This window comes from Homo sapiens, chromosome 7 (genome assembly GCF_000001405.40).
Source record: "Homo sapiens chromosome 7, GRCh38.p14 Primary Assembly".
In the NCBI taxonomy this organism is placed as follows: domain Eukaryota; kingdom Metazoa; phylum Chordata; class Mammalia; order Primates; family Hominidae; genus Homo; species Homo sapiens.
In genome coordinates this window covers 6,751,868-6,773,752 of record NC_000007.14, presented here as the reverse complement: position 1 = coordinate 6,773,752, position 21,885 = coordinate 6,751,868, and the positions used below count along the sequence as shown (strand labels likewise).

The following is a 21,885-nucleotide window of genomic DNA, read 5'->3' as shown; positions in this document are numbered from 1 at the left end:
AATATGGTGAAACCCCGTCTCAACTAAAATACAAAAAAATAGCCGGGCGTAGTGGCCCACACCTGTAATCCCAGCTACTGGGGAGGCTGAGGTGGGGGAGGCTTGAACCCGGGAGGCAGAGGTTGCAGTGAGCCAAGACTGCGCCACAGCACTCCAGCCTGGGCGACAGAGCAAAACTCGGTCTCAAAAAACAAAACAAAAAAGAAGACATTCAACACGTGACAGCAGTCACCAGCTATATTTTCCCAGGATGCAACTCATACCAATCAAAAAGATTTTACCTGCTTCTTTTCTTCAGGTTGGACTGTCTCAGGGTACATGTCCAGGAGCAAATTTAGATCCAGCTCAATGCTCGATCCCAACACAGAATGACTTTCACTGCCATCAAGCTTTCTGATCAGTTCTAATGAATGAAGGCAAACACAGGGGATAAGTACGGTTTGTTTGGTGGGGTTTGTTTTTTTTTTTTTTTTGAGACAGGGCCTCACTCTGTCGCCCAAGCTGGAGTGCAGTGGCATGATCTCAGTTCACTGCAACCTCTGCCTCCCAGGCTCAAGCCATCCTCCCACCTCACCCTCCCGAGTAGCTGGGACTACAGAAGTACACCACAACGGCCAGCTAATTTTTGTATTTTTTTGTAGACACAGGGTTTCACCATGTTGCCCAGGCTGGTCTCGAACTCCTGAGCTCAACTGATCCGCCTGCCTTGGCCTCCCAAAGTGCTGGGATCACAGGCATGGGCCACCACACCCATCCTTGGAGATAATTATGAAAAGCAATGTTCAAATTTCTCAGTATTATGTCACAAAGATTTTCCACCAAAATGGGATACAAGAATATTCCAAAAACCTACTAAGAACACAGGCTGGGCACAGTGGCTCATGCCTTTAATCCCAGCACTTTGGGAAGCCAAAATGAGAGGTTAAGGCTGCAGTGAGCTATGATCACGCCACTGCACTCCAACCTGGGCAACAGAGTGAGATCCTGTCTCTAAAAAAAACATTTTTTAAAAGCAGTTGCCAGCTAGGCACAATGGCTTGCAGCTGTAATCTCAGCACTTTGGGAGGCCGAGGCAGGAGGATTGTGTGAGGACAGGAGTTTGAATCAGCCTGGGCAACATAGTGAGACCCTGCCTCTACAAAAAGTTTAAAAATTAGCTAAGCCTGGCCAGGTGTGCTGGCTCACACCTGTAATCCCAGCACTTTGGGAGGCCAAGGTGGGTGGATCACGAGGTCAGGAGTTAGAGACCAACCTGAGCAACATGGTAAAACCCCGTCTCTACAAAAAATACAAAAATTAGCTAAGCATGGTGGCACACGCCTATAATCCCAGCTACTCAGGAGGCTGAGGCAGCAGAATCTCTTGAACCCGGGAGGCGGAGATTGCAGTGAGCCAAGATTACACTGCTGCACTCCAGGCTGGGCGACAGAGTGAGACTCCGTCTCAAAAAGAAAAAAAAAATTAGCTAGGCTTGGTGGTGTGTGCCTGTATTCCCAGCTATGGGGAAGGCTGAGGTGGGAGGATCACTGGAGCCCAGGAGTTTGAGGCCACAGTGAACAGTGATCGTATCCTGCTCCATCCTGGGTGATAGAGCGAGATTTTGTCTAAAATTTTTTTTTAAAAAAGGAGTTGCTCACAGAGGACTTCTGTTTCCTGAAGTGTTCGGTGTATTTTCATGAGTGAACACCATGGATAAAAACAGATGAATTTTATTTCTTTTTTTTTTTCCATTTTATTTATTTACCAGACGGAGTCTTTCTCTGTGGCCCAGGCTGGAGTGCAATGGTGCAGTCTGGGCTCACTGCAATCTCTGCCTCCCGGGTTCAAGCGATTCTCCTGCCTCAGCCTCCTGAGTAGCTGCGATTACAGGCGCCTGCCACCACGCCTGGCTAATTTTTTTTTATTTTTAATTGAGACGGGGTTTCACCATGTTGGCCAGGCTGGTCTCGCACTGCTGACCTCGTGATCCGCCGGCCTCGGCCTCCCAAAGCGCTGGGATTACAGGCATGAGCCACCACGCCCGGCCAATGAATTTTATTTCAACAGGTGAATGCTTCCTACCGGCGCTCCTGGACAGTCTTGGGGCAACTCCTGAAGACAGGTCCAGGCAGCTGATGAATTCAACTTCAAGATCCGGAAACCCAGCTATGTGGTCATTGGAGAATGCGCCTTCGTACACACGCCCGTTCTTGAAAGTTAATCGGCCCTGCAGACAGAAAAACTTTTTACAGTTTAGGAAAAGATTTCTTAGAAAAACACTGGTAAGGCTGGGGGCGGTGACTCATGCCTGTAATCCCAGCACTCTGGAAGGCTGAGGCGGGCAGATCACAAGGTCAGGAGTTCGAGATCAGACTGGCCAACATGGTGAAACCCCATCGCTACTAAAAATACAAAAATTAGCCGGGCCTGGTGGCAGGCACATGTAATCCCAGTTACTCGGGAGGCTGAGGCAGGAGAATCGCTTGAACCTGGGAGGCAGAGGTTGCAGTGAGCCAAGATCGTGCCACTGCACTCCAGCCTAGGTGACAGAGCGAGACTCCATCTCAAAAAAAAAAAAAAAGGAAAGAAAAACATGGGTAAATGTACATCAATAGTTTTTTCAAGGGTGTGGAGCTTTTCGTTTTGAAAATATGCACTTACTCTACACATAATCAGGCTCCTGGGTCTCATGCACTGTATAAGTCCTCTCTCTCGTCCTCCTTTTCCTATTCCTCCCCCTCCCCTCTCTCTCTCCCCAACAATCTTTCTCCAACTTTAAGCACCTATGGCCACAGAATGTGTCTTATTAAACTACGCTAGTGACCAGCAGAACGCCCATCACACAATACAGACTCCCTGATTTTTTTTTTGAGACGGAGTCTCGCTCTGTGCCCAGGCTGGAGTGCAGTGGCACGATCTCGGCTCACCGCAAGTTCTGCCTCCTGGGTTCACACCATTCTCCTGCCTCAGCCTCCTGAGTAGCTGGGACTACAGGCGCCCGCCACCACACCCAGCTAATTTTTTGTATTTTTAGTAGAGACAGGGTTTCACCATGTTAGCCAGGATGGTCTCGATCTCCTGACCTCGTGATCCATCCGCCTCAGCCTCCAAAAGTGTTGGGATTACAGGCGTGAGCCATCGTGCCCCACAATTTTTTTTTTTTTTGAGGTGGAGCCTCGCTGTCACTCAGGCTGGAGTGCAGTAGCACAGTCTTAACTCACTGCAACCTCCGCCTCCTGGGTTCAAGCAATTCTCCTTCCTCAGCCTCCCGAGTGGCTGGGATTACATGCGTGCACCACCACACCCAGCTAATTTTTGTATTTTTAGTAGAGACGGGGTTTCATCATGTTGGCCAAGCTGGTCTCGAATTCCTGACCTCAAGTGTTCTGCCCACCTCGGCCTTCCAAAGTGCTGGGATTACAGGCCTGAGCCACTAAGCCTGGCCAAGACTCCCTGAGATTTGTCAAACCCAGGCCAATAGTCAGTTACTGATTCAGAAGTGGGCAAATGACCCAATTTGGCTCTGTGAAATGAAAGACCTTTTTAGAGAGCTTCTGTAAAAAGTTCCTCCTTTTCTTCTAGTTAGCATGGTATGTGGATGTGAAGGCTGGAACCACAGCAGCTGTCTTGCAATCATGAGGGAGGAAAAAACACAAGGGTGAAAGTGACATGGTGGGAGATATCGTGGATAGATGGAGGAGAAATCCTGACAGCTCTGAGTTGCTGAATCAAACCATTATTCTGTATTTCACATGGCAGACGACACTAGATTCTCTGTTACTTGCAAACCAAAACCATCCTCATACACACACACACACGTACACACACACCAAACACTGATTAAATAACCACTAAATATATAGGAAATCAATGACCATTGAAACTATTTTGGCAAGCATAGTGGCTCATGCCTGTAATCCCAGCACTTTGGGTGGGAGGATCACTTGAGACCAGGAGGCCAGCTTGGCAAACACGGCAAAACCCCTGTAACTACTAAAAAAAAAAAAAAAAAAAAAAAAGAGCCGGGCGTGGTGGCGCACACCTGTAATCCCAGCTACTCTAGTGGCTGAGGCACAAGAATCACTTGTGCCCGGGAGGCAGAGGTTGCAGCGAGCTGAGATCATGCCACTGCACTCCAGCCTGGGCAACAGAGCGAAACTCTGTCTCAAAAAAAAGAAAAAAAAAGTCATGTAATCACCTTAGCAAAACAGTAAGTCATCCTATACAAAACAGATAATGTAATTTAATCGAGAATGACATGCCTTTTGTCAAAAAGAGTTCTGTAGATGGATGGTGATGGTTGCGCAACAATGCGCATGTGCTTAATGCCACTGGACTGTGCACTCAGAAATGGTTAAGATGGGAAATCTCATGTGTACTCTACCACAATTAAAATTAAAAAGAAATCTAGAGCGCCTATATTTACATCAGACAAAATAGACTTCAGAGAAATGAAAATTACCAGGGTTGGCCAGGCGTGGTGGCTCACGCCTGTAATCCCAGCACTCTGGGAGGCCAAGGAGGGTGGATCACCTGAGGTCAGGAGTTCGAGACCAGCCTGGCCAACATGACGAAACCCTGTCTCTACTAAAAATACAAAAATTAGCCAGGCATGGTAGCCGACGCCTGTAATCCCAGCTACTCATGAGGCTGAGACAGGAGAATCACTTGAACCCGGGAAGCAGAGGTTGTAGTGAGCTGAGATCATGCCACTGTACTCCAACCTGGACAACAGAGCAAGACTGCATCTCAAAAAAAAAAAAAAAAGAAAAGTAGCAGGGTTAATGAGGAACATTACGTGATGATCAAAAGAGCCAATGCACCAATACAGAATAATCCTCAATGTATATGCACCTAACAAAGCTTCAAATATTTGAATCAAAACTGATAGATCTGAAAGCAGAATAGACAAATCTGCAATTATCCTTGGACATTTCAATTGCTTTACATAATTTCAATGGCTTTACATAATTGTTTGAAATGTGATCCTCCCAGGTCTATACTCACCATGCCATGTTTCTTATTGGAAACCCATTCTCCATCATACATGGCTCCACTGGCATAATAAAACTTGCCACGTCCGTGACGATATCCATTTACAAACTCCCCTATGTATTCATTTCTCAAAGGATACTGGGAACTGCGGATTCTCTTTAGAAACCATGTGTGTGTTCCAAAGCCATTCTGAAAAGAAAGCACACTGCCATCAGAAATGCACAAAGCAGTTTCTCTCTTTACCCGGATCCCCTTAAAATTAGGATAAATACAATGAAAACTGGAAAGGGCAAAGAACTTGGACTCTGGAGTCACACAGACTTGGGTTCAATTTCAGCTCAGCTACTTACTAAGGAGTCTTTTGAAATAAGGCAGATCACTTAAGCCCTCTAAGTTCCTCGTCTGTAAAACAGAAATGACACCTACCCCTCAGGTTAGATATAAAGCAGTTTGAAACCAGCCTGGCCAACATGTTGAAACCCCATCTCTACTAAAAAGTGAAGATAAGTGTACATAAAGTGCCTGGCTTGATCGTGAAGATTTTCATTGTTATTTTAAATGTTGGGGTTTATTTGCTTTTATATATTTTTATTTTTTGAGAAAGGGTCTCACTCTGTTACCCAGGCTAGAGTATGGCACAATCTTGGCTCACTGCAGCCTCAACCTCCAAGACTCAAGTGATCCTCAGCCTCCCAAGTAGCCAGGACTACAGGCACCAGAGACCACTCCCGGCTAATTTTTATATTTTTAGTAGAGATGGGGTTTCACCATATCACCCAGGCTGGTCTCAAACTCCTGGCCTCAATCCTCAGGTGGTCTCCCAAAGTGCTGGGATTACACGTGTGAGCCACTGAGCCCAGCCTAAATTTTTATTTTTTAAAGATACCAGTTGGGCTGGGTGCTGTGCCTCATGCCTGTAATCCCAACGCTTTGAGAGGCAGAGATGGAAGGATCACTTGAGCCTCAGAGTTCAAGACCAGCCTGTGTGATAAAGTGAGACCTCGTTTCTAAAAAAAAAAAAATTATTTTTTTAGTTAGCCAGGCATGGTGGCAGTGGGCACCTCTGTAGTCTCAGCTACAGGGGAGGCTGAGGTGGGAGGATCGCTTGAGCCAAGGAGGTAGAGAGCCCTGATTGCACAACTGCAGTCCAGCCTGGGCAACAGAGCAAGACTCTGTCTCTAAAAACAAACGAACACGCTGGGCGCTGTGGCTTACGCCTGTAATCCTAGCACTCTGGGAAGCCGAGGCAGGTGGATCACTTGAGGTCAGGAGTTCGAAACCAGTCTGGCCAACATGGTGAAACCCCGTCTCTACTGAAAATACAAAAAAAAAAAAAAATTAGCCGGGCCATGGTGGTGGGTGCCTGTAATCTCAGCTACTCCAGAGGCTGAGGCAGGAGAATTGCTTGAACCCAGGAGGTGGAGGCTGCAGTGAGCTGAGATCCTGCCACCGCACTCCAGCCTGGGCAACAGAGCAAGACTCTGTCTCTAAAAACAAACAAACAGGCTGGGTGTGGTGGCTCACGCCTGTAATCGCAGCACTTTAGGAGGCTGAGGCGCGCGGATCACTTGAGGTCCGGAGTTCGAAACCAACCTGGCCAACATGGTGAAACCCCGTCTCTACTAAAAATACAAAAAAAACAATTAGCCCGGCCGTGGTGGTGGTGGGTACCTGTAATCTCAGCTACTCCAGAGGCTGAGGCAGGAGAATTGCTTGAACCCGGGAGGTGGAGGCTGCAGTGAGCCAAGATTGCGCCAGTGCACTCCAGCCTGGGAGACAGACAGAGAGAGACTCTGTCTCAAAACAAAAACAAAAACAAAACCCAAAAAGAAATATACATGTGTTGAGAATCGGCGGAGCATCCGCCTCTGGGTATAAGCTGCTACCCCGCCCGGGCGTACCTGGATGCCCCTCTCCCACCGCCCGGTGTACTCTTCGTTGGTGGTCAGCCACCTCATCCTCCCCTCCCCGTGGCGCATGTTGTCTTCCCACTGGCCTTCGTATATATTTCCAGATTTATAACTAGGATGAAAGAAACCAAAGAAAAACAATCAGTTACCTCCTACACAACATTTACCTTTAAGACATTCTTTTAAACACTCCCCTTGAGCTCCTTTGAAGAAATCCACCCCTTGTACTTATACAATCTTCTCTGTATTTAAATTCAGGCCAGGCGTGGTGGCTCACGCCTGTAATCCCAGCACTTTGGGAGGCCGAGGCTGGAGGATCACCTGAGGTTGGGAGTTTGAGACCAGCCTGACCAACATGGAGAAACTCCATCTCTACTAAAAATAAAAAATTAGCCCAGCTACTTGGGAGGCAAAACTCCATCTCAAAAGAAAAAAAAAAATGCAAAAATTAGCCGGACATGGTGGCAGGCACCTGTAATCCCAGCTATTCAGGAGGCTGAGGCAGGAGAATCACTTGAACTCAGAAGGTGCAGGTTGCAATGAGCCGAGATCATGCCACTGCACTCTAGCCTGGGCAACAGAGCGAGACTGTCTAAAAAATAAATAAATAAAATTTTTAAAAAATCAATGGATAGGCTCATGGTCCTAAGGGAGCAGAATGAGTCACTTTATTAAATCTTCTGACTATTTAATAAGGGGACAAAGTGGGTAAGAGCCGGGTTTTTAAAATTTTTTAATAATTCCCTATTGTATCATGATTAGTGAATATTTGGCCAGTTTTTGAGATGAGATCTCACTGTGTCACCAAGGCTGGAGAGCAGTGGTGTGATCATGGCAGGAGAATTGCTTGAACCCAGAAGGCAGAGGTTGAAGTGAGCTGAGATGGCACCACTGCACTCCAGCCTGGGTGACAGAACAAGACTCCGTCTCAAAGAAAAGAGAAAAAATCCACTCTGCTTAGAGAGAAAATGTTCCATGCAACTTTTGCATCTTACTTTTAAATATCCGAGGTGAACGCTATTGGGCCCACAAACCCTTCTTCATCTACACCCCAAGCGCGGCAGTGGTCATACCTACCATCTTATTCCCCAGCCCTTTTTGATGTTTTGTACCCAGTCTCCCTCGTACCAACACGTACCCTCTTGATTGTAATAAATGGAGCCCTGAAACAAATAATGTCATCTTTAAAACTATCAAGCCTCATGACACAAATGCTTTGTCAAATGTAAGGATATTAACTTGAAAAGTAGAACCTACACAGAGGTCAATGTCATACATAGGCAAGACATGTAAACTGCTATTTTTCTGTTTTGCTATCAAGAAAATGGTAAAACTGCTGCACAAAGGGAAATGAGATAATGTCACAAATCAATTGCTCCTTAATAAAGTGCCATATTGGCCAGGCACGGTGGCTCACGTCTGTAATCCCAGCACTTTGGGAGGCCGAGGTGGGCGGATCACAAGGTCATGAGTTCAAGACCAGCCTGGCCAACACGGTGAAACCCCGTCTCTACTAAAAACACAAAAATTAGCTAGGAGTGGTGGAGCGTGCCTGTAATCCCAGCTACTTGGGAGGCTGAGGCAGGATAATCGCTTGAACCTGGGAGGCAGAGGTTGCAGTGAGCCCAGATCGTGCCACTGCACTCCAGCCTGGGCAACAGAGCAAGACTCCATCTCAAAATAAAATAAAATAAAAAGTATCACATTAAGGCACAGAATGACTGTATTCATCATATTCGAGTATATTCATTCTATCCAGTAACTATTAGTCAATTAAGTACCTAGAGAAATCCTGTCTGTTGCCACCTGGAGTGAACAGTTGCGCCTTCCATGTAACGGAAGGTCACTCTCTCTTAGGCACCAGATCCACTGTTGTTTTACCCATTTGGACATGCTACTCATTTTACCGCCTCCGAGTATAAGTGAGCATAGAGTACCCTTTGTTTGATCTACATAGAAAAGCCTCAAAAGGCTTTTTCACAGGTTTATCTGTGTGTGTGAGAGAGAATTTTTCTATCTTCTTTCTCATGATCAGGCAAACTCATTCCTTCTTGCAGCCATGCAGATGCTGCTGTCTAGAAGTCACCACCCCCAATCCCTCCAATATGTCTCAAGCAATCTGCTGTAAAACACACACACACACACACACACACACACACAACAACAACAACACAACTCAATAAATAGCCTATTAAAGCATGCATACGGCCAGGCACAGTGTGGCTCACGCCTGTAATCCCAGCACTTTGGGAGGCTGAGGTGGGTGGATCACTTGGGATCAGGAGTTCAAGACCACCCTGGCCAACATGGCGAAACCCCATCTCTACTAAAAATACAAAAATTAGCTGGGCGTGGTGGTGCACACCTGTAGTCCCAGCAACCTGGGAGGCTGAGGCAGGAGATTTGCTTGAACCCGGGAGGCAGAGGTTGCAGTGAGCTGAGATGGCACCATTGCACTCCCGCCTGGGCGACAGAGCAAGACTCCATCTCAAAAAAAAAAAAATTAATAAAATGGTTAATTTATGTGATGTGAATTTCGCCTCAATAAACAAAAAGTGAATATGCCCTGGACAGCGCCGCTAGCCCCTACCCCCTTCTCTCCCTCCATGTGGCCACCCAGCCCCTCCCCTGCCCTCCACATGGCCACCCCACCCCCTTTCTGCCCCCCCGACCCCCCCGACCTTGCCCCCTCATGGCTGCCCCCCCCATGTCCGCCCACCCCCTTCACTCCTGCCCCACCTGCCCTCCACGTGGCCACCTCGCCCACCTTCCCGTGCCGCTTGCCATTGCACCAGTGGCCGATGTAGGACACAGGCTGGGTGCTGCACTTGAACATCCCGAATCCGTTCCTCATGCCGTTGACCACTTCGCCTTCATACATGCTGCCGTCCGGCCACGTGTACACGCCGTGGTTCATCGGGACATTCTTCACAAAGTCGCCCTGAAGCAGAACGGCCATGGGGTGACAGAAGGAAGCGTTGGGGGGTGGGGGCGGGAATCCCTAGTCCTGCGGGCGGTTCCAGGAGCTGCTTGACCTCTGATTCTGTTCTTGCCTCTCCTGTGGACACACTGAACATCCCCCTCACACTCTCTCTCTTCCTTCCTTGTCTGCTCTCATCGCATCCTCTCTCATCTGACCCGACCAGTGGGCGGAAGCTCAGGCAGGAGGAAATATCTGGGAGGTTGCAGGTTGACCAAGTTCGAAGAAACAAGCAGGTGATGTTGGAAAGTGCTGGCTTCCAATCCTGACCTGGGGAACTTCAGATTCTTAGAACCCACCTTGGCAAGGTGCAGTGGCTCACACTTGTAATCACAGCACTTTGGGAGACTGAGGCGGGAGGACTGCTTGAGGCCGGGAATTTGAGGCCAGTCTGGGCAACCTAGGAAGACCCTGTCTCTAGAAAAAGATTTTATTTTTGTTTTTATTTTTGAGACAGAGTCTCACTCTGTCGCCCAGGCTGTAGTGCAATGGCGCCATCTCGGCTCACTGCAACCTCTGCCTCCCAGGTTCAAGCAGTTCTCCTGCCTCAGCCTCCCAAGTAGCTGGGATTACAGGCACCCATCATCACACCCTGCTAATTTTTTTTGTATTTTTAGGAGAGACGGGGTTTTGCCATGTTGGCCAGGCTGGTCTCGAACTCCTGACCTGAGGTGATCCACCTGCCTCGGCTTCCCAAAGTGCTGAGATTAACAGGCATTTAACAGGCATGAGCCATCATGCCTAGTTTTTGTGGATTTTTTGTTGTTGTTTTTTTGTTTTTTTGAGACAGGGTCTCACCCTGTCACCTAGGTTGGAGTGCAGCGGCACAATCATAGCTCACTGCAGCCTCGACCTCCCAGGCTCAAGAGATCCTCCCACCACAGCCCCCCAAGTAGCTGAGACTACAAGTGTGTGTGCCACCAAGCCTCACTACTTTTTAAATTTTTTGTGGAGATGGAGTTTCTCTATGTTGCCCAGGCTGGTCTGGTCTCAAACTCCCAGCCTCAAGTGATCTTCCCACCTTGGCCTCCCAAGTAGCTGGGACTACAGGTGCTGGCCACCAAGGTGCAGTGGTGCACGCCTATAATCCCAGCACTTTGGGGGTGCTGACGTGAGAGGATCTGTTGAGCCCAGGAGGTTGAGGCTGCAGTGAACTATGACCACTGCATTCCAGCCTGGGCGACAGAGCAAGATCCTGTCTCTAATGAAAAAAAAAATAACCCGCTCGAAGGAGGTGAATTCACTGTTCCCTCCAAGGCTTAGTGATGACTGGGGACATCCCTCTTTCTTTTTCCTTTTTTTTTCAAGATGGAGTTTTGCTCTTGTTCCCCAGGCTGGAGTGTAATGGTGTAGTCTCGGCTCACTGCAACCTCCGCCTCCCAGGTTTAAGCAATTCTCCTGCCTCAGCTTTCCGAGTAGCTGGGATCACAGGTGTGCACCACCATGCCCCGCAAATTTTTGTAGTTTTAGTAGAGACAGGATTTCACCATATTGGCCAGGCTGGTCTTGAACTCCTGACCTCAGATGATCTGCCCACCTTGGCCTCCCAAAGTATTGGGATTACAGGCGTGAGCCACCATGCCCGGTCAGGAAATCCCTCTTTCTGCCACGGTCATCAAAATAGTCTGTAAACAAATCAGCCAACAGCCTGCCCCAGGGGCACCTGCCAGGGAACGCGCTCTGCCCAGGACGCCTGAGTGGGCAGCAGGCAGCACAGTGCACAGCACCCAGCAGCATCGGATTCTCTTCCAGGAACCTGAACTCCCTGGAGGCAGCCACAGCAGCAGAGAAAAGAGGACAGCACGCCGTGGCCTGATCACCAGCCAGGACCCATGAGGCCAGTCGGCCTCTGAGAATGCTTCTAGGAGCCCCCCGAGTCCTGCCCAGAAGCCCCCCTGACTGGGCTGGAGTGGGGGTCTGTGCCTGCAAAAATGACCTCCCCCCCTGCCGGGAGTTTCCCGAGACAACGAGGCACAGGGCGGTTCTTGGTAAGTTGTCACTTAAGGACCAGAAACTGGCCCAGTGCGGTGGCTCACACCTGTAATCCCTGCACTTCGGGAGGCTGAGGTGGGCAGATCACCTGAAGCCAGGGGTTTGAGACCAGCCTGGCCAACATGGCGAAAGCCCGTCTCTACTAAAAATACAAAAAGTAGCCCGGCGTGGTGGCGGGCGCCTGTAATCCCAGCTACTCTGGAGGCTGAGGCAGGAGAATTGCTTGAACCCAGGAGGTGGAGGTTGCAGTGAGCCGAGATCCCGCCGCTGCACTCCAGCCTGGGTGACAGAGCAAGACTCTGTCCCACAAAAATAAATAAAATAAAGACCAGAAACCTTACATGTCAGCCACCGGCTAGAAGGCGGGATGTCGCGTGGGAAGGGAGCTGGCATGAACCCAAGGTGGGGGCCCAATCCTCAGGCTCCCCTGGAACTTGGAGATCCTCCTTGCCCCGCCAGTGACGGTCAGCCCCTCCCTCCCTCTCCCCGCTCCTCTGCAGCATGCCTCTCACCGCCCAGCTGCAGGTGGCTTCCCGGCCCAAACTTGACTCCGTTTCCATCATTGCCTGTGTGTTATTTGAATAAGTGCGTTATGCGCATGTGTTTTAAATGTCATCATTACCATTTATAAACACCATCTGTTAGCAACTCTGCATTTGGGATTTTTAGAATAGCATTTCAGGTGCTCACTCACTTTGTGGGTGGGAATTGAGCCTGGTACAATCTCTTGGCGAACAATTTGGTCCTTGCAATCAGCTTAAAAATACACATTCCCCTCAACCCCACAAGACAGGTTAAATAAAAGCCACATAATGGAATACATGCAGCCACTAAAAACAGATCTACATGAATGGATATGGTTTGATCTCAAAATTAAAGGTACAGGCCAGGTGTGGTGGCTCACGCCTGTAATCCCCAGCACTTTGGGAGGCCAAGGTGGGAGGATCGCTTAAGCTTAGGAGTTCGAGACCAGCCTGGGCAACATGGCAAACCCTGTCTCTACAAAAAAAAAAAAAAAAAGTAAAAATAAATTAGCCGCGTGCTGCGGAGCACACCTCTAGTCACAGCTACTCAGCAGGCTAAGCCAACAGGATCGCTTGAGCCTAGGAGTTCAAGGCTGCAGTGAGTCATGATCTCACCACTGCACTACAGCCTGGGTGACAGAGCAAGACCCCATCTCAGACTCACTAACTAACTAAGTAAATATGCCAAAGAGAGTGTATAATAAACTATGTGTGTTTGTAAAAAGCAAGACAGGCTACAGAAGTTCCAGGCTGCAGTGTTATGATCGTACCACTATACTCCAGCCTGGGCAACAGAGCAAGACCCTGTCTCAAAGAAAAAAGTAGGACAAGCTACATACATGTATGTGTGCTCTCTGTGCTTAGAACACATAGAATACCTCTAGAACACACAGATGAAACCAATAACAATTACTGGCGGGTCCCATGCAGTCATGAGTTACTAGATCCTCTGGTTCTGCAAATTTTTCTTAACCCATATGCTGAATGACATCTACGAAAACAGTCTGTTCAATTGTGGGAAACTGATTGTTCCATCCAATAATCACAGCTTAGAACTATAACTGGTTATATGCCTCACCTCATATTTTAATCCATCGGCCCAAATATAAGTCCCCTGTCCATGCATGAGTCCTTCTGAAAACATACCCTTCAAAACAAAACAAAGCAACGACAAACACTTAGAATACAGCTGACACATATACATATTTGAGATAGGGTCTGGTTCTGTCACCCAGGCTGGAGTGCAGTGGTGTGATCATAGCTCACTGCAGCCTCGAACTCCCAGGCTCAAGCAATCCTCCCACTTCAGCCTCCCGAGTAGCTGGGACTACAGGCATCCACCACCATGCCCAGCTAATTTTTGTATTTTTTGTGGAGACGGGATTTCACCACGTTGGCCAGGCTGGTCTTGAAATCCTGAGCTCTAGCAATGCGCCCGCCTTGGCCTCCCAAAGTGCTGGGATTATAGGCATGAGCCACCGCGCCTGGCCTGCAGCTGATGATTCTCTCCCACAACTGCCTTATCCCGATTTCACATGCGTGAAGATGCTTGTCTGCACACTCAGCACCAGCTGAGTCCTAGTGAGTCCTACTCTGAGCTGCCTCCATGCTGGGCTCCATCCTTCTCTAAAAAGGATCTAAGAGGTCCTCATCTTCATGACCTAAGGATGACCTCAGCTACAAAAATGTGTTCTCAACCGGGTGCGGGGGCTCACACCTGCAATCCCAGCACTTTAGGAGTCTGAGGCAGGAGGATAACTTGTGCCCGGCAGTTCAAGACCAGCCCTGGCAACGTAGCAACTCCTTGTCTCTACCAAAAAAAAAAAAAAAAAAATTAAATTAGCCAGGCGTGCTAGCTCACACCTGTAGTCCCAGCTATTCAAGAGGCTGAGGAGGGAGGATCATTTGACTCCAGGAGGTCGAGGCCACAATGAGTTATGATTGTGCCACTGCACTCCAGCTTGGGTGACACAGTGAGACCCTGTCTCAAAAAATATAAAATAATCAGGAAAAGAAACAAATCTAAAATAACTTTTGTTATATTGAGCATTATTTTTACCTTAAATAGGTAATCAGGTTTCAGAATAAAATCGGCATGAAGAGCTTCCGATTTCTTTTGAAGCATCAGTGGATTTTACTGAAGATTTACAAATCTACGACCATCACCCCACACCTTCCTCCCCTTCCTGCAGGTTCTCAAATGGGCAACTTACACGATAGGTACAACCGCCTTGAAAGGCTGCGAAGCCTTCTCCCTCATACAGCCCACGAACCTTTTCCCCTTCATAGCTACAAAGAAATAAAGGTAATTCAAGGTAATGAACAATGTGAATAAACCCAAGTGACAGTGGGTTAAACTATATAACTATGTAATGGGAAGAATGAAGTCAGAAAAAAAAAAAATATATATATATATATATATACACAGAGCTAGAAAGTAGAAGAGGTTACCAGGGGTTTGAAAGTAGGGTGAGGAATGAAGGCATTTCGGGGTTTTTTTGTTTGTTTTTTGGGGATTTTTTTTGAGATGGAGTCTCACTCTGTCGCCCGGGCTGGATGGAGTGCAATGACGTGATCTTGGCTCACTGCAACCTCTGCCTCCCGGGTTCAAGTGATTCTCCCGCCTCAGCCTCCTGAGTAGCTGGGATTACAGGCACATGTCACCACGCCCAGCTAATTATTGTGTTTTTAGTAGAGATGGAGTTTCACCATATTGGCCAGACTGGTCTCAAACTCCTGGCCTCAAGTGATCTGCCCGCCTCAGCCTCCCAAAGTGCTGGGATTACAGGCTTGAACCACCGCATCTGGCCAGGAGTTACTATTTAATAGACGGTCGTACAACACTATGAACGTACTTAATGCCATTGAATTGTACACTTAAAATAATTAAGATAGTACATTTTGTTATATGTTTCACCACAATAAACTCTATATATACACACGCCATGGGGCTGTATGTTTGCTATTTGGGTGATGGGCTTACTAGAAGCCCAAACCTCAGCATCACACAACATGCCCATGTAACAAACCTGCACATGTAACCCTCTAAATCTAAAATAAAATAATTTTTTTAAATACATAAAATTACCTTCAGGCCAGGCACAGTGGCTTACGCCTGTAATCCCAGCACTTTGGGAGGCTGAGGCAGGTGGCTCACCTGAGGTCAGGAGTTCGAGACCAGCCTGGCCAACAGGGTGAAACCTTGTCTCTACTAAAAGTACAAAAATTAGCCAGGCATGGTGGCGGGCACCTGTAATCCCAGCTACTCAGGAGGCTGAGGCAGGAGAATTGCTTGAATGTGGGAGGTGGAGGTTGCAGTGAGCCAAGATCACACCACTGCACTCCAGCCTGAACGACAGAGTGAAACTCTGTCTCAAAATAAAATAAGATAAACCGCCTGACTGGCAGTGTTATACCCGATGGCACCCCCATTAAAATCACCTTTCCACTATGAGTTTGGTCAGAATGGACTCTTCGTATTGGCTGGCATCTTCGTTCTGCTGAACGTTTTGGCGGTCTTTTTTGGGTTTCACTTCGTTGAGCTGCATTCCCAGCAATGGGACACCAGCTGGGGACATCTCTTGCCTAGTGGTGTTGCCATCTTGTTTGGAAAAGTCTAGATTATCAGAGAGAGATGAGGGAGAGCGGGCAGACTTCTCCCCTTTTTTGTCTGCTTTTTTCTTTTCTTTCACCATTGCCTTGGGAAGATCCAATGGTTACTTGAATCAAATGATTTCTTTGGTTCAGAGCTGCTTGTTTCAAAGCACTGATGAGTTTTATCTGAAAAATAAAAATTACGTCTCCAAACACTTGGGGTTTTCATTTGTAGTTAAAATTTCAGTTTTACAACACAATGTCATTATCATTCTCCTGACAAAGTCTGAAAAATTAGTTACCAGGGCCGGGTGTGGTGGCTCACACCTGCGATCTCAGCACGTTGAAGGGCCAAGGTGGGAGGATCATGTGAGTCCAGGAGAGGGAGATCAGCCTAGGCCACGTAGTGAGATGCCACCTCTCTACAAAAAATAAAAATAAATTAGCCAGGCGTGGTGGCACATGCCTGTAGTCCCAGCTACTAGGGAGGCTCAGGTGGGAGGACTGCTTGAGCCTGGGAGGTCGAGGCTGCAGTGAGTAGTGTCACACCACTGCACTCCAGTCTGGGTATCAGAGCAAGACTCTGTCTCAAAAATGACTATAATTACAAGTTTCAAGTACCATCAGTTTATAAAAATACAACCTCAACATCGCATTGCTTGTTCCTAAAATTTTTTTATTTTTAATTTTTGAGACAGAGTCTCACTCTGTCACCCAGGCTGGAGGGCAGTGGCACAATCACAGCTCACTCTAGCCTCAACCTCCTAGGCTCTGACGATCCTTCCATCTCAGCCTCCCAAGTAGCTGGGACCACAGGCATGCATTACCACACCTGGCTAATTTTTTGTAGAGACAGGGTCTTGCTATCTTGCCCCGGCTGGTCTGGAACTCCTGAGCTCAAGCAATCCGCCTGTCTCAGCCTCCCAAAGTGCTGGGATTATAGGTGTGAGCCACTGTACCTTGCCCCAAAAATTATTTAAGTTGGAACCATTGTCTAGCATTGTTTCTTGAAAGGTAACCCTACACATGAAATAGGCTACTTCACCTCTCAGGTCTTGCATGCAGCCAATTCACACTTTAAAAGCCCCTCTCTGGCCGGATGCAGTGGCGCACACCTGTAGTCCCAGCACTTTGGGAGGCCAAGGCAGGTGGATCACGAGGTCAGGAGATTGAGACCACCCTGGCTAACACTGTGAAACCCCGTCTCTACTAAAAATACAAAAAATTAGCCAGGCATGGTGGCACATGCCTGTAATCCCAGCTACTCAGGAGGCTGAGGCAGGAGAATCACTTGAACCCAGGAGGTGGAGGTTGCAGTGAGCCGAGATCACACCACTGCACTCTAGCCTCGGCAACAGAGCAAGATTCTGTCTCAAAAAAAACAAAACAAAACAAAAGCCCCTCTCCTTATAGGTCAGCATTGTAAAGTGTGCAAGAGCTGGATTCGGAGTCCTGCATTGCCCATTACCAGTTCTATGGGTTTGTTTATTTATTTATTTATTTATTTTTGAGACGGAGTCTCACTCTCTTGCCCAGGCTGGAGTGCGGTGGTGCGATCTTGGCTCACTGCAAGCTCCACCTCCCGGGTTCATGCCATTCTCCTGCCTCAGCCTCCTGAGTAGCTGGGACTACAGGCACCCACCACCACACCTGGCTAATTCTTTTTGTATTTTTAGTAGAGACGGGGTTTCACCGGGTTAGCCAGGATGGTCTCGATCTCCTGACCTCGTGATCTGCCCGCCTTGGCCTCCAAAGTGCTGGGATTACAGGCGTGAGTCACCGGGTGTGGGTGCCCGGCCCAGTTCTGTGTTTTTTGGGTTTGTTTTTTTTTTTTTTTTTTAGACAGACTCTCTAGCCCTGTCCTGCAGGTTGGAATGCAGTGGCAGGATCTTGGCTCACTGGCTCACTGCAACCTCACTGCAGGTTCAAGTGATTCTCCTGCCTCAGCCTCTCGAGTAGCTGGGATTACAGGCACCTGCCTCCATACTCAGCTAATTTTTGTATTTTTAGTAGAGATGGGGTTTCACTGTGTTGGCCAGGCTGGTGTCGAACTCCTGACCTCGTGATCTGCCCGCCTTGGCCTCCCAAAGTGCTGGGATAACAAGTGTGAGCCACCGTGCCTGGCTGGTTTCCTTTTTTTTTTTTTTTTTTTTTTTTTTTTTTTGAGACGGGGTGTTGTACATTTTGCCCAGGCTGGTTTCAAACTCCTGGCCTCAAGCAATCTTCCCACCTTCTCCTCCCAAAGTGCTAGGATTGCGGGCATGAGCCACTGAGCTCGGCCAAGTGCTGTGTTCTGAAGCAAGCTGCTTAATCTCCTCTGCCTCACAAATAGAAATAACAGAACCTTGTCTCATAAGAATTAAACCGATGACACACAGAAAAATCCCTAAGTACAGGATACAGAGCAAAGTCAATAAATTGAGTGATTATCTCGTCCCTTTCCTGTTTTCAAACTTGAAATCATTGGTTTCCCACTCCCTCTAGCACTGCCATCGATTGAGTGCCTCTCATATGCCGGACAAGCAAGGACCGGTGTGCTGGAGTTGCGTTTCCAGCGCATGGTTGCTTGAGCTGTATTTCCAGCGCATCGTTGCTCGAGCTCCGTTTCCAGCGCATATCTTTGCTTGTCTGGCATATGAGCTGCGGTGCAGGGTTTCAAAGCCATAGTTTTCATGGCTTTCCTAATCTGGCCCCGCTGAAAGCACCCTGGTCCATCAGGCAGGATGCATAGGTGAGCCCTGTGGTGAAGGCCAGGTCTGGTCCCTTTTCGTAGGCCCCGACGGGTGCAGTGGGCACTTCTTGCCCTCTTCTTCCTGGATGCCATCCTCTGGACACCCCACCCTCCAGCTGAACCCATCTCCAGCCTTCTCTCTTCCTCCATTATTTATTTATTGAGACAGGGTCTCGCTCTGTCACCCAGGCTGGAGTGCAGTGGCACAGTCTTGGCTCACTGCAACCTTCCGGGTTCAAGTGATTCTTCTGCCCTAGCCTCCCAAGTAGTTGGGATTACAGGTGCCTGCAACCACTCCCGGCTAATTTTTGTATTTTTAGTAGAGCCAGGGTTTCACCATGTTGCCCAGGCTGGTCTCAAACTCCTAACCTCAGGTGATCCGCCCGCCTCGGCCTCCCAAAAGTGCTGGGGTTACAGGCGTGAGCCACCGCGCCCGGCCAAGCCTTCTCGCTTCCTTCCAACACCCTTGCTCCTTCCCGCCCCCGACTACTGTCTCAGCGAAGCCGCCCCTGGGTCCCCTAGCCCAAGGTGCTCTCACCTCTAAATTTAGAGGGGCCTTTACTACGAGCTTTTCGGTCTTCTGTCAGTGATCTACAAATAAGTGAACTACAAATCAAGCCAATTTCGTTTCTCAGTGCGTTTCCTAATGTTTCCTCTGTTCTCCTGGGCTTAAGGAGAGGCCATCTCTCTCCTGTGTCTACGGTGAGCCGAGAAGAATCGGCTCCCTGCACTGGTCTGCCCGGCCTAGGCCCTCCTCGCCCATCACGCACGTGCTCGGGTCCTGGGAGGCCGCGTCAGTCCGGCCGGGAAGGAGCAGGACCCAGTCGCCATGGCTGTCCCGGCGTAGGCAGGACCGCGGCCTGGGGCGCTCACCTCGCTCCAGGAGCCCAGAGACCTCGCCGGGCTCGGGCTGAGGTGTTGCCGGGCTCTCGGCGTCCCAGACCCGGCTCCGGTCTCCAGGCAACCGCGGACGCCGCCAGGCCCACCCTGTGCTCTTAAAGGGGCCGCGCGCCAGCGCCAAGCAGGTGTCCCGCCCTTGCTGGTCCTGAAGGCCGGGGGAAAGGCTGGACGCTGGAGGCAGCAGGCCAGGGTTTTCCCAGCTCTGCTAACTGCTTCATCATAAAATAGGAATAACGCAGGCATTAGTTTTCCATTGCTGCCGCAAACAAATTACCATAAATTTAGTGGTTCGAAGCAACACAAATTTATTACCCTACAGTATGTAAATTAGTCCCACAGTGCTGGTTCCTTCCAGAGGCTGAGGGAGAGAATGCGTTTTCTTGCCTTTTCCAGCTTTTCCAGAAGCGGTCCCCAACCTTTTTGGCACCAGAGACCGGTTTCGCGGAACACAATTTTTCCATGGATTGGGGTCGGGGAGGGATGGTTTCAGGACGATTCAAGTGCATTGCATTTATTGTGCACTTTATTTCTACTATTATTACATTGTAACATATAATTAAATAATTCTACAACTCACCATCACAGAGACTCAGTGGGAGCCCTGAGCTTGTTTTCCTGCAACTAGACAGCCCCATCTGGGGGTGACGGGAGACAGTGACAGATCATCAGGCATCAGATTCTCATAAGGAGCGTGCAACCTACATCCCTCGTGTGTGCAGTTCACAATAGGGCTCGTGCTGCTATGAGAATCTAATGCCCACCGCTGATGTGACAGGAGGCGGAGCTCGGGTGGTAACGCCAGCGACGGGGAGTGGCTATAAATACAGATGAAGCTTCGCTGGCTTGCCGGCCCCTAACCTGCTGTGCACCCCACTTCCTAATAGGCCATGGACCACTACTGGTCTGTGTCCGGAGTGTTGGAATCCCTGTTCTAGAGACTGCTTGCAATCCTTGACTAGTGGTACCTCCTTCCATCTCCAAAACCAGCAAGGCAGCCTCTCTCTGGCCAGCAGGGAAAGGTCTCCACCTTTGAAGGACTCACCCAATGGACTGGGCCCACCCAGACAATCCAGGATAATCTCTCTGTTGCAAGATCCTTAACTCAGCCAGGCATGATGGCTCACACCTGTAATCCCAGCACTTTGGGAGGCCGAGGCGGTCGGATCACCTGAGGTCAGGAGTTCGAGACCAGCCTGGTCAACATGGTGAAACCCTGTCTCTACTAAAAATACAAAAATTAGCCAGTATGGTTCTGGACACCTGTAATCCCAGCTACTCGGGAGGCTGAGGTGGGAGAATCACTTGAACCTGGGAGGCAGAGGCTGCAGTGAGCTGAGATCATGCTATTGAACTCCAGCCTGGGCAACAAGAGCGAAACTTCATCTCAAAGAAAAAAAAAAAAAAGATCCTTCACTCAATCACACCTGCCGAGTCCCTTCTGCCACGTGAGGCAGCGTGGTCACAGGTTCTGGGGATTAGGACACAGCTGTCTTGGGGGCTGTTATCCTGCCACAGCTCCCAATCTGGAGAGTTCATAAGTGGGATCCTGCAGACCACGCCAGCACAGTGCCAGACACGATGGCACAGTGACTACTGTACTGCCTCCTCCATCTGAAGGATTCTAAAGCAGGAAGGGGAGCCGCCCACAGTCTGGAGAAGGGGTGGGGGCAGCAGGGGGAGCCACATCTGTCATCTCTGGGCCCCCAAGAGGGCATCTTTACTTCCATTTTCAGCCAAGTTCAAACAGGACAAGGTTCCATGAAAACTATTTGAAAAGACAGACAGGGATTCTTATATTCCCAGAACCATTCAAGGCCAGTAACTGGAATGTTCTACAGTTCACATCCTGAGGAAACCAAATCACAGCATCAAATTATGGGAAATCAAACTCTTTTTGTTCCCCTGCGAGGACAGCATTTTGCGACCTTGGCCGCACAGAGGAATGTTTCAAATAGTGACCCCTGTCCCATCCAGTCATTTTCTTCCAGCCGGGCAGAGAATCCCCCGTGTTTAAAAATTTAATGTGAATCAGGGCTGAGAATCACTAACTGAAAAGGACCCTACTTTTAAATTTATGAAATTAAACAAAGATGAATTTAATTATTGTTAAGGGTTGAAAGTTATAGACTAAACTATGTCCAGCCAGAGCAGAGGCCTGAGTAACTTCCAAAGTGGTTTGGTTTTTTTTGTTTTGTTTTGTTTTGTTTTGTTTTTTGAGACACAGTCTTGCTCTATCTCACCCAGGCTGGAGCGCAGTGGCGCAATCTCGGTTCACTGCAA

The 21,885-nt window shown here is 48.7% G+C and overlaps 1 protein-coding gene across 14 annotated transcripts in view; it reads right to left on the bottom strand.

Annotated features, from left to right (window-relative positions):
* Positions 1-21,653, bottom strand: part of RSPH10B2 (radial spoke head 10 homolog B2) — a 46,666-nt gene extending 25,013 nt beyond the window's left edge. Inside the window, exons 1-12 of one of the 14 annotated variants that reach the window (XM_006715766.3) lie at positions 19,476-19,626; positions 19,244-19,296; positions 16,277-16,396; positions 15,822-16,160; positions 14,594-14,669; positions 13,459-13,527; positions 9,652-9,825; positions 7,962-8,047; positions 6,876-6,996; positions 4,987-5,163; positions 2,062-2,221; positions 282-403 (exon numbers count right to left, since the gene is read on the bottom strand). In XM_006715766.3, the coding sequence (XP_006715829.1) occupies positions 282-403; positions 2,062-2,221; positions 4,987-5,163; positions 6,876-6,996; positions 7,962-8,047; positions 9,652-9,825; positions 13,459-13,527; positions 14,594-14,669; positions 15,822-16,075 (1,239 nt within the window). In that variant the 5' untranslated portion in view covers positions 16,076-16,160; positions 16,277-16,396; positions 19,244-19,296; positions 19,476-19,626. Of the gene's footprint in view, positions 1-281; positions 404-2,061; positions 2,222-4,986; positions 5,164-6,875; positions 6,997-7,961; positions 8,048-9,651; positions 9,826-13,458; positions 13,528-14,593; positions 14,670-15,821; positions 16,161-16,276; positions 16,397-19,243 lie in introns of those variants that run through there. The other 13 variants (XM_024446908.2, XM_024446904.2, XM_024446906.2 and 10 more) reach the window with 13 other exon arrangements.
* Between the last annotated feature and the right edge of the window lie 232 nt (positions 21,654-21,885).